Source organism: Homo sapiens, chromosome 13, assembly GCF_000001405.40.
Source record: "Homo sapiens chromosome 13, GRCh38.p14 Primary Assembly".
Classification (NCBI taxonomy): Eukaryota; Metazoa; Chordata; class Mammalia; order Primates; family Hominidae; genus Homo; species Homo sapiens.
Genome location: NC_000013.11, coordinates 79,190,602 through 79,207,249, shown reverse-complemented (window position 1 = coordinate 79,207,249; position 16,648 = coordinate 79,190,602). Strand labels below are relative to the sequence as shown.

The 16,648-nt window shown below is 37.8% G+C and overlaps 5 annotated features.

The window, feature by feature from the left end:
• Positions 8,708–9,339: an enhancer, noted in NCBI's record as "OCT4-NANOG hESC enhancer chr13:79772046-79772677 (GRCh37/hg19 assembly coordinates)". NCBI's record gives its function as "activates a minimal SCP1, AML or CMV promoter by ChIP-STARR-seq in primed H9 embryonic stem cells {active_cell/tissue: H9 hESC(primed)}" and the evidence as "EXISTENCE:reporter gene assay evidence [ECO:0000049][PMID:30033119]".
• Positions 12,213–12,332: an enhancer, noted in NCBI's record as "active region_7852". NCBI's record gives its function as "activates an Ori minimal core promoter by ATAC-STARR-seq in GM12878 lymphoblastoid cells {active_cell/tissue: GM12878}" and the evidence as "EXISTENCE:reporter gene assay evidence [ECO:0000049][PMID:35858748]".
• Positions 12,593–12,812: an enhancer, noted in NCBI's record as "active region_7851". NCBI's record gives its function as "activates an Ori minimal core promoter by ATAC-STARR-seq in GM12878 lymphoblastoid cells {active_cell/tissue: GM12878}" and the evidence as "EXISTENCE:reporter gene assay evidence [ECO:0000049][PMID:35858748]".
• Positions 12,923–13,012: an enhancer, noted in NCBI's record as "active region_7850". NCBI's record gives its function as "activates an Ori minimal core promoter by ATAC-STARR-seq in GM12878 lymphoblastoid cells {active_cell/tissue: GM12878}" and the evidence as "EXISTENCE:reporter gene assay evidence [ECO:0000049][PMID:35858748]".
• Positions 16,198–16,307: a silencer, noted in NCBI's record as "silent region_5425". NCBI's record gives its function as "represses an Ori minimal core promoter by ATAC-STARR-seq in GM12878 lymphoblastoid cells {active_cell/tissue: GM12878}" and the evidence as "EXISTENCE:reporter gene assay evidence [ECO:0000049][PMID:35858748]".

The window sequence follows — 16,648 nt, the reverse complement described above, 5'->3', positions numbered from 1 at the left end:
TGATACTACATAGATTCCACGACTGTAGATCACACATTCCGTGAACCCTTTGATAGTGGTGCTAGCTCAGTACCTATGGGTGACAAGGGCAAACCTGTACTGTTTATCAATCCTGGTTAGAAGGCTCTGCTTCCCTTTCCAGAATGGGAGATGTCTGATGCCACCAATTTACCAGTAGGTAGTTAGTTGGTTTCTTTGAGAGTATATTGTATGCCCTAGTAAAGGAAACCTGGGTGAGGCACCAAAATTCATTCTGCCACAGAGACCCACTGGCCTTTTGTTTCAGAGTACAATTTTAACCAGATTTAACACAAGTTTGATCACATTTTTGGATCAATTTATTGATTGCATACAGGCTATTTGATTAAACCAAAAATATGACAAATTAGTTGAATTCATAGTTATTTTCAATTCAGTTTGAGTAAACCAAACTACATCTATTATTAGACCGGATAATTCAGTAAACACAGACTCTAGGTATTAAATATTAGCCAGTTAATAGGGGCAAATGTATAGAGTCAAACTTTGAAAAACTTAGCTGCTATTCACGAAGAAAAAGCTCAGAAGCAGGAACTGCAGAGAGATGGCATGGCCAAATGAGGACCTTTCTGATTTTGAAAATCTCGTTTTATAAAGTATGTTTCTTTAAAAAGTTATTGACTGATCTATAATTTTGGAATAGAAGAAAATAATTACTACCATTTTTTCAATTGCCAAATTACTTATAAATTTTAAAATATGGAATAATCAGAGTTAATGGTATCTCAGAATTGGGAGGGCTTAGATCCTTATGTATATCTTTCTTTCCAGTAAAGGAACCCTGTTTATTACAGGCTGACAGTCAAATATCTTCAATTAATCATGTGATAGAAAATCTAGTACTTCACAAAATAATATACTTAATTTCTTTTAAACATTATCTTCTTACGACTGTAAGGATAATATATTTTTATAATAGAAAACATTTGGACTCAGAACTAGAAAGTAAAACAGCACTTTAAACCCCCATTAAAAAACTGTTGCTATTTAGCATTTTGTTGTTTTCTTTTCAGTATTTTTACATGCTTTAATCTTCCACCAAAGTAGTTACAATCATGTTACATATACAGCTGTATACCTTGCTATTTTCTACTTTAAATTATAATAAAAGCTTTCTTATGTTATTATAGATACTTTTGAAGCATCTTTTACAATGATGCATAACATTCTGTCCTGTGGTTCAACCACAATTCTACTTAATCATTCTCTTCTGCTTAGACAATTAGATTATTTCCATAGGCTAAATTTCAGGATGACAGATAATTTACCTATATATACTTAAAAAGACCCATACACATAAGATTGCCTTCTGAAAGTTATGCCATAATATTAAGACATGATGGACAATTATGTCTTTAGTCTTCTACGAATCCTAATGAGCTTTATGCTTCACTTTCAGTTTGCATCTAATTCCCCTTGATAATGTATATGCAAGATAAAAATTGAATAATTTCATTTTCTCTGGTGTCAACACATACTTCAAAAGCATAGGAACTTATTTTACTTTGATCTTCTTGCTTTGAAAGAGCCAACATGTCCTCTTTACTGTACTTAGTTTCTTTTTTCTTTCTTTTTTTTTTTTTTTATAGGACCCAACTCTGTTCTTCAGTTTTTTTCTTTACCTTTGGTTTTCAGCAATTTGTCTATTATGTTCCTAGGTTTGGTTTTCTTTGTTTTTATCCTGTTTGGGTCTTCTTCAATCTGTTTGTGGATATTTATGGTCAAATTTGGAACATTTGCCACCATATTTCTTAAAAAAATTTTTTCTATTCCAATATTTCTCTCTTCTGTGACTTTAATTATGTATGTATTTGACATCATTTGGATATTTGTCTCCTTTAAATCTTGTGTTGAAATTTGATTGCCAACGTTGGAGGTGGAACCTGGTGGGAGGTATTTGGGTCAGGGGGTTGGATCCCTCATGCATGGCTTGGTGCCTTCCCTACCATCACCATGATAATGAGTGAGTTCTTCTCTTAGATCCCCCCAGAACTGGTTGTTAGAAAAAGAGTCTGGCACCTCCTCCCTGTTCTCTTCCTCCCCCTCTTTCCATGGGACATGAAAGCTCCCCCTTCCCTTTCCACCATGCTTGAAAGCTTCTTGTGTTCCCTGCCAGAAGCAGATGCTGGTGCCAAGCTTATTGAACGGCCTGTGAATTGTGAGCCAAATCAACCTTTCTTTATAGGTTACCCAGCCTCAGGTATTCCTTTACAGCAATGCAAAACAGACTACAACAAAAAATCAGACTCCTTGATATTTTTCTACGAGTCACTGAAGCTCTTAAAAGTCACCTTTTCTTTTCTATTTTTTTTTGTTTTGTTTTGAGACAGAGTCTTGCTCTGTTGCCCAGCCTGGAGTGCCTGGAGTGCAGTGGCACGATCTCAGCCTTGCTGCAACCTCCGCCTCTCAGGTTCAGGCAATTCTCCCTGCCTCAGACTCCCGAGTAGCTGGGATTATAGGCATGCACCACCACGCCTGGCTAATTTTTGTCTATTTAGTAAAGATGGGGTTTCGCCATGTTGACCATGCTGGTCTTGAACTCCTGTCCTTAGGCGATCCGACCGCTTCTGCCTCCCAAAATGTTGGGATTACTGGCGTGAGCCACCACAGCTGGCCTCTTTTCTATTTCTAAGATGGAATCCAGGGTGTTTTTTTTTTTTTTTAATATAACATTACCAGTATTTCCTTCCAATGTAAAAACTTCAATTCTGATGATGAAAAATTTACTTATTTTTAAAATAATAGTCATCACATGTTTTGGTAATATTTGTTTTTCCTTTTAGTTTGTCAGCTCCATAAGGGAAGGACTCTGTTTTCTATTGAACTGTTAACACACAGTACTGTGCCTGAACATAATAGATACTCATTTGTTAAATAGAAATAGTAACTGATATTATAACTAATCTTTGTCAAGAGCTATATACTAACAGTCCTTCTAAGAAACATGTATTATTTTTAAAAAATTACTTTGTTGTGTACATAGTCATGTGTTGCTTAATGACAGGAATACATTCTGAGAATTATGTTGTTAGGTGACTTTGTTGTTGTGCGAACATCATAGGGTATATTTATGCAAACCTAAGTTGTATAGCTTACTATATACCTAGGCTATATGGTATAATTTATCGTTCCTAGGCTACAAACCTGTACAGCATGTTACTGTGCTGAATACTGTAGGAAACTGTAACACAATGTTAAGTACTTGTGTATCTAAACATAGAAAAAGCATAGTAAAAATACAGTTTAAATAATTAAAAATCGTACACCTGTGTAGGGTATTTACCATAAATGGTACTTGTAGAATTGGAAGTTGCTCTGGGTGAGGCAGTGTGTGAATGTGAAGACCTAGGACACTACTACACACTACTGTAAGCTTTATAGACATTGTACATTAAAACTACAATAAATTCATTAAAAGCTATTTTTTCTTTTTTTTTTTGAGACGGAGTCTCACTTTGTTGCCCTGGCTGGAGTGCAGTGGCACCATCTCGGCTCACTGCAAGCTCTGCCTCCTGGGTTCACGCCATTCTCCTGCCTCAGCCTCTCAAGTAGCTGGGACTACAAACGCCCGCCACCACGCCCAGCTAATTTTTTGTATTTTTTAGTAGAGATGGGGTTTCACTGTGTTAGCCAGGATGGTCTCGATCTCCTGACCTTGTGATCCACCTGCCTCGGCCTCCCAAAGTGCTGGGATTACAGGCGTGAGCCACTGCATGGGGCCAAAACTATTTTTTCTTAAATAATAAATTAACCTTAACTTACTGTAACATTTTAATTTATAAAATTTTTATTTTTTTAGCCTTTTGACTCTTTTGTAATAACATTTAGCTTAAAACACAAACACATTGCCGAGTTGTATAAAATACTTTCTTCCTTTATGTCCTTATTCTATAAGCTTTTTTTCTATTTTTAAAAATTTATTTTTTAGCATTTAAACTTTTTTGTTACAAACTAAGACACAAACATTAGCCTAGGCCTACATGGGGCCAGATTTATCAATATCACTGTCTTCCACTTCCACATCTTGTCCCACTGGAAGGACTTCAGGGGCAACAACACTCATGGAGCTGACATCTCCTATGATAACAATGCCTTCTTCTAGAATACCTCCTGGAGGACCTGCCTGAAGCTGTTTTACAGTTAACTTTTCTTTTATAAGTAGGCATACACTCTAAAAAGGTATAAAACTACATAGTAAATACATAAACCAGTAACACAGACATTTATTATCATATCAAGTATTATGTACTGTGTGTGATTATATGTGTAATACTTTTATACAACTGGCAGTGCAATAGGTTTGTTTACACCAGCATGAATAACGTGTTGTGCTATGATGTTATGATGCGTACAATGTACTAGGTGATGGGAATTTATCGCTCTATTACAATCTTAGGAGACCACCATGGCATATGCAGTCCATCACTGAGCAAAATATTTTGTGGCGCATGACTGCATTTAATTTTTCTTTCTTTGACCCTTCAGGTGTTGGCTGTTGGCAGGAGCATTTCCCCAACAACGTAATGTAGGTGATTGAAGAAAATTTTTAAGTTTTGAAATTCCAAGGGACTTAGAGGAAATGGACTTTCCTGGAGATGTGGCTACCTGAAAAAGAAACAGTATTAAGCAGGTGGATTGGATCCTATTTTTCAATGGGTAGACTGTGTGAGGAAGGGTTATACATCAACTTAATGGAGGGAGCCAGTGAGATGGGGAAAGCTGTGTGAGGGACGATACTCTCTGTAGCCTGTTAGAGCTTCAGACACATTGTTGAATTCACTAAGTTGACGAATGTAATTGCATTTCTTGTGGAAAACAGTGAAATATTTTTGGTCTGTACAGTGACTTGTGAGAGGGCAGAACTCGGGTGTCAGATCCCCATATAGGAACTGAGAGCAACCAGAGGAATTAAGGTCAAGAGTCCACAACAAACATCAGTGTTACCCTTTTTGAGAAAAAAAATCCACAAAAATTATAGGGAGAGAGCTCAATTCACAGGGGCTATGAAGCTGGGCATTTTGATCAAAGTTGAGCTAATATTCAAGGGACAGAAAGGCTGTATGTGACATTTGGGCCACATTGTCTGACAGTACTCATTCAGCCATGTGGTTGTTGCTGGGACTCAAAAGTGAGTTAATTACTTTGATACCAAATTTTGGACTCGTGTGCATCCTAATGTCCAGCTCCTGCTCATAAAACAAAATAGAGAAGAAAGGGTCACTACACACATACTATTATTTGAGAGCCTCCTGCAATGGGCCATTAGAAAATATGTCATAGCATGTGTCCTAAAAAATTAGACTAATGGTCAGTGCTAGTTGCGGAAGAAGCCCTTTGTAGATAAGCATCACTGGAGAAACACAGACCAAGAGAGGTAAGGTCTCTTTAAATGCCACTTTGGCCACCCTAGATTTCACGGTTGATAAAACTGATCTTGGAAGAGGAAAAGATGGGCACGAAATTCGTTAATAGGAGGGAGTAAGACTGAACAAAAGTGTCAATCCAGGGTACCAGCTCAGACATTAACAGTGGGTTGATATGGGAATGATTGCTTTCCATGTCTCCATTCCCACTGCCAAGCTGTCTATATAAGAAGGAGCAGGGAGGAGGGGAAGAACAGGTACCTCTCACCATTGGTGAGGAGGTGACTCAAAGGTGGCCCAAGCCTGCCAACAGTGATTATTCTCACATCTGTGATTCTCTTGTGAGAAGCTGATCTCTCTAACATGTGTAAACACAGGAATTTATTTACCTCCTGCCCTTTGGAAGGCTTCAGCATCGTGTCAGATAGATTAAGAAAATATTTAAACTGCCTCGGATTCCATAAATCAATTGTCAGGTTCATTTGTGGTTAAGGCAGCCACCTTGTTACACGCAGGTTGTCCCTCAGGAGTTTCCAATAAATGAACATCTGGATAGAAGTAGGAAGAGTGATGAGGTCTTCTGGGTTTAAGAGAGGAGAAGCTCCGGAAACCATTATTGTTTTTCCCGGAAAGAAGTAAGACCACTTGTGGGGTTGGGCCTAGGGGAGAAGCCTCAGCCATAAATAAATATGGCTCTTCTCACCAATTCTTCAGGGTGAGAAGTTGTAGTGAGACAGCAGACGTGTTATTCCGCTGAATTCCAGAGTGAAAGTGTAGGGCTGCTCCATATCCCAGAAACAGTGAACGTAGGCCATGGTGGGCGTGGACATCTCCCAGAAGCAGTGGACATAGGCCATGTGGGCGTGGACATCTCCCAGAAGCAGTGGATGTAGACCATGGTGTGTGTGGACATTTCCAAGAAGCAGTGGACAGGCCATGGTGGGCGTGGACATTTCCCAGATGCAGTGGATGTAGGCCATGGTGGGCATGGACATTTTTTAAGGGTCTTGGTTCTCTCAGAGGTGGAGGAGCAGGAGGCAGGCCTGTGGGCTGGAGAATGCTGTGTGGGGAACAACGACCTCTCTTTCTGTAACTGTCAAGCTGAGCTGACTTACTAAACTCACAGTATTCATGAGGGTCATTGGCTTTCTCATGGGAAATAGTGCAGGGTCAAACTGAGATGGCAGATCTCATTAGGAATGGAAAAGCAGACAGGTCAGAAATATGCCAAAAATGTATGGAGGATTCTGGACTCACATAGAAGTGAAATCAGGGGAGCCAGCTTGACAACTCTTTGAGGGACAGGGTAGCCCCAAATGATGCCTGGTTTATAATAGATGCAATTTTAGTAAGATTTCTAAAGGTTACTTCTTGTAGTTTTCAGTAGCCAACATGGCATCTTAGCACTCCAGACCCTTTTGGATACTATAAGTGCCAATAATGATCTTTCTGGATTCTACGTTTAACCTGATGGAAGAGACATGATATGCAATTAAAGAAAGTAGTCTCAGAAACATGTTTTTCCTACTCTTAGAGCAAGGTAGTCCACCAGAAATCTAATGCATGGTTATGTTGCCTTATTTATGTGTAATACATTTTACATTTATGGAATGGCAATGGGTTTTGAGATTTATGACTAAAAGAAACAAAGTGAAAAGCACCACCACCACCACCACCAATGATAGCAATACTGTTATTGAAGACTTTTTGTCCTTTGCTTTACTCGGAGTACTCTTGATAAGGTTCTACTTGAGAACATTATTTAAAGATTTAGTGCCCAGAAATACATTGCAACCTCAAAGAAAATTGATGTTTCCTCTATGAGATAATTTAAATGAAATGACAGAATGAAATGAAAGTGAAATGACAGAAATGTTTCCTTTCTGTCCTTGTTCAATGGATGCTGAGAGCCAAATTTGTTAATTATTTGTAATAATGTTATCATCTTCACAGTTAGCTTAACTTGTTGGCTGGCTGCCTATAATTTTGAATTTCTATTTTCCATTTTATTAAGCTTGTCTAAATAACCTTTGTTGTAAACTGTCACAAATCCCAATTATTATTATAATCCATTCCTTTGGGGATAGAAATAAATTTGGTAAATTAAATTACTAATAACTTTATTAATGATTTGTGGATTAATATATCATACATGCTCATCATAATAGCTTAATTTTTATCCACTTGATATCAAAAGTAAGTTAATTATTCTGGTACTCAGTTTTGAACTCATGTGCTTCCTAATTTTGATTATAGAACTAAAATCAATGATGTGAATAGAAAACATGGAAAACACTTACATTGTTTGCCCATATGCATGATGTTTTATATTCCTTATTTCCCACTTTTTAATTTCTTTCAGATGGTTTCTATGTAAACTGAGACATTACATTTTCTATTTATCCCTTTCCTCTTTTTTTCTTGTCCAAAATAGATGCATTTGGTCTGTTACACTTAGTTCAAGAGTAATTATTTTTCAGTTCAAGGTGACAATTTAATCTATTTTATTATAAATGAATCAAATTTTCCAGGCAGTATATTTATTTGGGGACTTACTATGCTCCATCGACTGCCAGTATAAGATTCAATAGTTAATTTATTCCTTTTGAGGAATTGCATGTCCACAGCCTCTGGGGTTTGCACTGAAACACTCCTTTAGGAAGGGGTAACACGGGGCAACTTTTAAAGATAAGACAGATTTGCAGAGCCGGAATTTCATTGTAACATCAATTAGATTGAATTGTATTATATAAGCAAAGGTTATTTGCAGAGCTCCCAGTGACAAGAACAGCATTATTCTGAAATTCTCTGTTGGTTTGTGCAGCAGACTTCCCATGGGAATTCGGGGCTCATGTTCCTATTCCCTTCAGGGAATGCGCAAGGGTATGAGACTGGATTTAGTGTAGGACTACCTGAATGAGAGGTAGACATTTTCTTGAAAAGGATGGTAAAATCTGGAATACTTTCAAAAAAACTGATGGAAAGGTAATTTTCCCTGTTAAAGACTCCTAAACAGACAAACAAATGAAGTTGCAAGAGACTATGAGTTTACCATCCAAACAGAATGCTTCAAAACATCCCCTAAAATGTATATAACTGCTTAGCCATGGAAATTCTTATTGCATAGTTTTTTTCTCTGTATCTGTCATTGGCAGAGTAAGGATGTATTGGATGGAATAAATGTAATTGAATGTATTTCCAAGGCCCATCAGACTTTCAAGCATGTATAGCCATTACTTAAATGCATTCTAATAATCTAAAAGTAATAAAGGTCACAGACTCCACTCATATGAACAAACATCACCTTTCTTTGCTCCACATGGATCTGTGTCTCCCTTTGCTGGCACAGGACTCTTTCCACTAAATGGCCTAATTGTAGCTCAGGTATCTCCAGTATTTCTTGGGCACATAGAGAAAAGAACTCATTAATTGTACTAACTAGTGTATTAATTAGGGCTAATTACAGTGGCCTTTTCTAGCTTGCCTACTATTGCAAATAGAAATTCAGTATGGGGACCTCAAATGTAAACTTAGGGTTCAATGACCCTGAATTAAATACAAAGTCATGTTAATTTCACCAATATAAAATGTAAATTCAGTGTATACCAAACTGTACCCTGTCATGAAGGCTTCACAAAGCAGAGAAAGGAGACAATGGATCCTGTTTTGTTTCTCATTTGGCCCTTGCTGGGTTTACTTTCATCCTGCTGATCCTGTAGGCAGCTGTGGGAGAGAGAAGGGCTTAGGACCTGGAGGAGGATACCTGGGTTTGAGCCCAGCTCTGAAATTCGTTATTCACGTGACCTTGGGAATATCACTCAAACTTTCTGAGTCTCAGTTTCTTGACCTGTAACCTGGAGACTCAATCATTTTCACCATTGGAAGGCTGGGAAGATTAGATATGTACAAGTTTTCATAAACTAAAATGTGTACTAGCCATATAAGGAATTTTAATACTTATTACATAATGACATTAATTTATATCTTATAAGATATTCTGATAAAATTTGGGAGAGCAACCCACCAGATTTATTTCTTTCAAAGGTGTCCTGGATGCCTATGGTGGTAAATAAGTAATGATGATAATAAATAAATCCAGGAATTAAGTATTTATGTATAATACTTTACAACTTCATTTGGTGAAGCATTTTTCATGCCAACTGTATCCCCAAACAGATTACATTCAATGAAGACTTACAGTGATAAGCAATAAATACTAGCAGTGAGAGACAGACATTGAGATAAACAGGCAGCAAAAAGTGCTTTTCAGCTAAATTCTGAAAAGAAATGAAGAATTTAGGGTTGCAGAGACCCAGGAGAGATGTCACAACAGGCAGACACTTTTGGAGATAAAGTTCTCACACTCAATTTTCTTAGTGAAAGGCCTGAGGCACGAAGTACCAAAGTGTTGAACTTCTGCCTGGGTCATCTCACAGGCGGCGGGTCTTTACTGTGGGAAGAAAGAAACAATATTAAGTCTGAGAGAGGTGAATTTCAACTTCATGGGGATTATGAAGCAGGAAAATCTTTTGTAAATGGCTTTGCTTTGATCTATATGGACCAGAAGAGAACTACGTATTGGTATTTTATTGTCCATAAGCTACCCAAAAAGTGTACCTGCAGTGTTCATCACTAAAAATCAGCTGGAAATTTGATTTGCAGTCTAGAGTAAGGATTTTCAAGTTAGTTCAGGATACACTGATTTCTGATTCTTCCATGGGTTTGCCTTTGGCTCAGTCAGTTTTGACGCAATAGATGGGAGTGATTTCCTTAAATGTTAATTTGACTTTTTAGTAGCCATGTGCATAACAGAAGCACTCTGAGTAACACTATGTGTTGTGTGTGTGTTTGTATTAGTCAGTTCTCATGCTGCTAATAGAGACATATCCGAGACTAGGCAATTTATAAAGGAAAGAGGTTTAATTGACTCACAGTTCCACATGGCTGGGGAGGCCTCACAATCATGACAGAAGGCAAATGAGGAGCAATGCCACGTCTTACATGGTGGCAAGCAATAGAGCTTGTGCAGGGAATTTTCCTTTATAAAGCCATCAGATCTTGTGAGACTTATTCACTGTCATGAAAGCAGCATGAGGGTAACCACCCCCATGATTCAATTACCTCCCACAAGGTCCCTCCCATGGCACAAGGGGATTATGGGAACTACAATTCAAGATGAGATTTGCGTGGGGACACAGCCAATCCATATCAGTGTTTGAAAGACAAAGTGGTGGCATACACAGCAGCCTCTCGAGGAGGGTACTAAAATGAGTTTCTATTTCTATATCACACTGACTGAGATTGGGGAAGATAAGAGTAGGGTAAGGTGAGCAAGCTCAAAGACTGAGGAAATGTTGCTTGGTATGAGAAATTTTACTCAGATAACCTCAGGAGTGTATAAAGAAGAGTTATTGTATTCTACTCACAAAGTGTTTTTGTTGATGATGGCCTGATTGGAAGATGAATTACCACCCGCCAATGAAAGGCAACCTTACAAAACCATTTGAAACCCAACTATCTCATGTTATATTGGGTTGTGGATAGTACAGTTCAACTCCAACAGGATACCTTTGGCTATGTGGGTGCATGTTGACAGCTTTAAGGAGGGCCACTAAAGTGTCTTTCATAGTGCTAAAAGCACCTCAAAATGAGTAATTTATTTTGGAAAAGCATATTAGGAGAGAAAAAATGTTTCATCTAGAAGCACTGATATGAGGAAGAGACTAAATAAATGAATGAAGAAGTTAGTGCAGAGTAGAGACAAGCATGAATTGGTTTCACAGCTGCTTCTGATATGGCCAATAAAAAAGATAAAGAAGAAAAAGAATCAAGCAGCCAGGGAAAGGTCAGCTCCTTAAGGGCAGGCCTCCTGCCTAGCAGTACACAGTTATCCCCAGTGCCTAGAATATGGTAGGCACATGGTAATCTCACATTTTGCAGTAAAAATAAATACATATGTACAGGAGCTAAAAGTATATATTAAGAAGGAAGTTGCTTGACATTAGATAGAGTCTTGATTATTTTAGCTCCATGATAGGGGTTGTCTTTGACAAAATTTCCTCTTTTTTACAGTTGTCATCTAGGTAGCTATCTCTATTGGTGGTGTTCTTTAATAGGTGTGGGAGAGAAGCCTCAAGGGACAGAGTGATCTGAAGTTGTTACATTAAATAGGTTTCCCAGGCAAAGCAAGAAATGGCCTGGAGTCTGCTCCTGGTTACAACTTTAATCATTACATACAAGCTGGCTGTGAAAATCCATCTGAATGATGAACAAAATACTTTAATCTGGACTTCATCATGTTACTTTTGCTACTTTGGAGTTCTGAATTCATCATAAGAATGTGAAAGATTTACCTGCAATGGCAGTTCCCTCGAATTCCAGTAAATCCATGAAAGAATGTGTTGCTTCATGGAATGGATGAGAGAGGGAAAACATTCTCTCAGGGAATCAGAAATAGGAGAGATTTGGGTGGCTGGGGGTGGAAGGGCAGTTCAGGTTCCAGAAAACAGAGCTATTGGAATTTGGATGAGGGTTTTAAAACATGATAAGGCCTATCAGGAGTCATAGGTTGATAGCAATCAATGAGTAAAATGACTCCTTGTGTTTGGAAAAGAAAATCAAGCAGACTTGTGGAAGTCTGTGGTCTTGGATGCAAAAGGAAGCTAAAGCTACAATAGTCATTAAGTCAATGGAAGTGAGAAGGAACTTTTAGAAAATTTGATTAAGACAGATAAGGGACTGGATTCCAGGAATTAGGTTAAGAGAATGACAGTACCCCTCAGAATATAAGGTTTGTCTAATTATTCTGATATAAGGATTATTAGTTATAAAGACTATTCTCATCATGTAGGTGGAGGACCTGGTGCCCCAATACTACAGGCACAACAGCGTGGAGATGGTTCCTCTCTGCAGAGCCCTGCATTCAGCCGCATGCCTAGGACAGTGGAAAGTGCAGGGATGTTCTTTTGCCTGTTTACCTGTGACAAGATCATCAAGTTTCTCAGCTCAGAGGGGACACTTAGAGTGGGGGAATGGGTAAGACTTTTCTGCTATAAGTGAGGAAAAGGAAGAAATGAGGAAAATGACAGAACAATCTATTCCAGGGTCAACTCTAGTATATATTATAGGAGAATTGTATTTCTTGCAAATAAAAGCAGAGACCTTCTGATGTTTGTCTTTTACTTTAAGATAAGAGAAACTCAATTGACTCTTCCTACTCTAGATCTTAAATACACACAAGGAAGGTGTCCTGAGCGAGGCACTCATGAGAAGTTAGCTAAAGTCATTTTCAGATTTAATGATTGCAGGTGTCATAATGAGTGTGACATCTCTCTAGTTCTTTAAATAGCACTGCGGATGTTCTGTGGTTAGACTGGCTGCCCCAAATTACCCAGAAGTGAAACTGCTTTTTTGGTGATGCCTATGTCTGATCCATAACCTCCATCTTTTCTGTATCTTTTTTTTTCTCTTAAGATAACACAGCACATTTGAGGATGCTTAAAGTATTTGAGTGGTGCTACTGGCTATAATTAAGTTCTTTCAGCCTTTCCATTACAAATTCTTCTTTCCGAGGTTTAATATCTCAGAGACTTCTAATCCCACTGGGCCAAACTTAGTATAGAAGCTGTCAGCAGAAATGCAAATTTTTTTGCCCACCCCTAAATATTTCTAATCAAACAATTTTTTTCCCCTCATTACAGCAAAGGTATAAGGAAATAGGTTTCAGGCACTTTTGAAAAGCAAGAAAAAAAGTAATCTAAGCACAAAATCTGAGAAAAATGCATAAGAATGCAAAACCTGTCTAGTTTCGGGGTAGGTGGGCAAATATTGAAGACATACAGCATCAGAGAATTTTTGCCTTGTGTTTTTTAGCTAAATTCAAGATGTAACCATGAAATAAACTGACAGCATATTGTTTGTTGGTTTGAAATTTTGATTTTTTGTTTTAAGGAGAAGTCCGTGTTACTTCTGTGAAAATTTAAGATGAGCAAATAATTCCAATATACCCACATAACTTGGGCTATGGTTGAAATTTTTTTTTTATCTTTTCCTTTGTGTCTTGAAGATAATTGAATGAAAATCATTTGTAGCATTATTGGTTTATTTAAAAAGGTTTAAAAATTAAACATTTTATTTTTATTTTTTGTTGTGGTAAATAATGCATAACATGAAATTTAGCACCTTAGTCATTTCTAAGTGTACAGTTTAGTACTGTTAACTATATTCATGTTGTTGTATAGCCAATCTCCAGAACTTTTCATCTTGCAAAACTGGCACTCTGTACTTATTCTGTTTCGATGAAGTTGAGTACACATAGAAACCTCATATAAGTGAAGTCGAGCAGTATTTGTCTTTTCATGATGGGCTAATTTCAATTGGCAGGATGTCCTCAAGGTTCATTTGTGTTGTAGCATGTGTCAGAACTTCCTTCCTTTTCAAGGCTGAATATTATTAACATTTGACTTTTTGGATGCTTATTCCATATTGCCTTTTTTTATTATTAATCAAAAGATTCTATTTCTTAAGTAGAAGTTCTTGTTATGTCCTCAAATTATTTCATAATTATTAAAATCCTTCTTTTGGGGTTTTAACTTATTAGTTTAAGGGTACAGGTCTTTGAACTTGGCTTTACTGCTTAAGAGAATGAACATCTTTTTGCAGCCAGTTTTCTAGATAGTGAAAGATGGACCTTCTAAGGTCCTTGGCAGTGGTTGTTTGCCCCTAGGTCAGAGCAGTCCTAATCGTGTCTTGTCCTTGTCCCTGTTAGCACTGCTATTGCACAGCCATTCCCCATGCTGTCTCTTTGGGGGAATTTTGCTCTCCCATATCACATTTCTGACTATTCTAATCTCTTCGACACTTCTAAATGTGGGTGTCATGTTCTCATCTACCCCTAAAGCCATTTCTATTGCGTTCTGTAACCTTTCTTCTCAGTTCATCTTCTTTCTTCTGCCTCCTAGAGCCTCTCTAATATTTCTTGTTTTTTCGAGAAAAGATTAATACTTTCAAAATAGGTGAGCCTTTTTATTCTCTTTCTCATTGAACTCCTACCATCTGGTACAATTCCATCCAACTCTCCCCCCAATTTATGGAATACTTCTGGCTATCAGACTGATATGCAAAGACAATCGGACACTCCTTGCATTCTTGAGGGGATCAGAAACTAGTGGGCAGATGAATATGCAGACAATCCCAAGGCACTGTAATAGAAAAAGGGGAGAGAAGAGCCTTGTGATTTCTGTGAGGAGCACAGGTGAGGAAGAACTGCCCTATGTAGGAAAATGAGGTCAGATCTTATCAATAAGACAACATTTAAAAAATCAGTCTTAAAGAATGACTACCAGTTAGCTGGAAAAAAATACTATGTTTTTGGCCTAGTCTCTCTCCAATTATTTTATTTAGTAAAAATATTCTCTGAAATGCACAGACCCCAAATTCCATCCCACCACAAAGACACACTGGGTACAATCCGTAACTTCTCTCAGGTGCATTTGTTATTTGCCATTACCTTGATGCCACTATATTTTCTATAAGGACATTGTATTTTGAGGTCTTCTGAGTCTAAAATGTTAAAGAATCCTGAGGGATCTGAAAAGCTGAATTCTGATGAGCTAACATGTTAGAAATTGTTATTAGTCATTTACATCTAGATACAAATAAACCAAATGAAAGCAAGCTTTGATGGGGCAGGAAAGACAGCAAGAGGGTATGAGGAGCTTGGGAAAGGGATGGTTAGAGATTCACTGGTGGAAAAGTAGTGGTAAAGTGGAAGAATAGGAAGCTTGAACAAGTGATCTGATTCTCTCTAGAAAGAAGGATACACCCTGAGTATTTTATTTTAACAGTGAAAGTTTGAGGGCTTTCCATGGTGGTCTCTAATGAGTGGCTACTCTCTTTCCCACGTGGGTTCCAAGCAAGTTGAGAAATAGAGCCAAGAGTAAATATGGAATAAAAAATGTCCCTATTGCCACTAATAGAATTCAGATTGGATGACAGAGCTTAGAGTCTATTACTCTAGTGAGCTTGTTGATTTTGAACCTAGAACTGGACAGACTTGCTCCTCACTCCCACATTTTGGTGTCACTTGACTGGCATAGGCCAGATAAGTTCCCAAATTCTTCTCCAAATTTAGCAAGCACACATGCCACTCCTCTTCCCCCAGACTGCAGTGAGGAAGGGGGCAGGGAGAGGCTGGAGTGACACTAACATGTTTGTTTCATAGGAAGAAAACATAAGAAATAAAGAAGAGCAGAGCATTCCCTTCCAACAAGTTCCTCCACTTAATTTCTTCTTTTTCTAAAATGGAATTCAGTATCAGCATAGATGGCATTGCCTTTCAGTTCTTTTATCTTTAACTTTGTTTTGCCCTGTGTTTTCGGCTTTGAACTTCCTCATAAGTGTGACAAGCCTAACTCTATCCCTCTTTGATTGCAGAAGTCTCATCTTTAGTTGTTGTTGTTGTTTTTCTTATGGTGGGACCTATTTCTTGAAGCACTATACAGAAGAGGATAGGAACAAGAAGTGCTAGAGTTGTTGGTGCTATTGCCAACTTCTGCTTTGGCACCATTGAGCTCTCTGCTGTTCAGAGGTTGATTCTGTCAGGTATAATGCAGATATGCTCACATCTTAGCACAGTGAATGCGAAAGCAATGGCTTGTTTACTTGGTTTCTGCATTGCAGTGTGGCTGGAGTGTGTTGAATTATTATTGCATTTGTTTTAGGGAGTCACCTCCCTTGTTGTTCACTTCCCTCTACATAACATTTCCTCTGCGAGGTTTACTGGCACTGCAGGAACTGAAAAAATGAAGTAAATGGCTCTCTAGAGAAATCTTTCTAGGAGGTGTGAACCACCTGGAGTCTGTAAATGCTTGAAATTTGGTTCTCAACAGGAAAGAAAATCAATGTAAGATAGAAATATAATGAAAAAAACACTTTTTTCCAGTAGGTAAATTTGGATTGGTGACAATTAGGTGTTCTGATCATCAGATTTCATAATCTGGATTGATTTGTAGAGAAATTTAAAAACCATCAGTTGTTACAATGCTATGAATACGTAAGAATACCAGGAGAGGGTATTCTAATCTACATGAAAGCCAATGCCATCGATGCTAATTTGTTTTCTGTTTTGCTCATGACACAACAAAGCGGCTGAATATAGTTTTTTGCTGTTGTTGTCACTCATCTTTCAAAGGAAAGAATACTGATAGTTTCAACATCATACTTTTAAAAAGTAACTTCTGCATAGA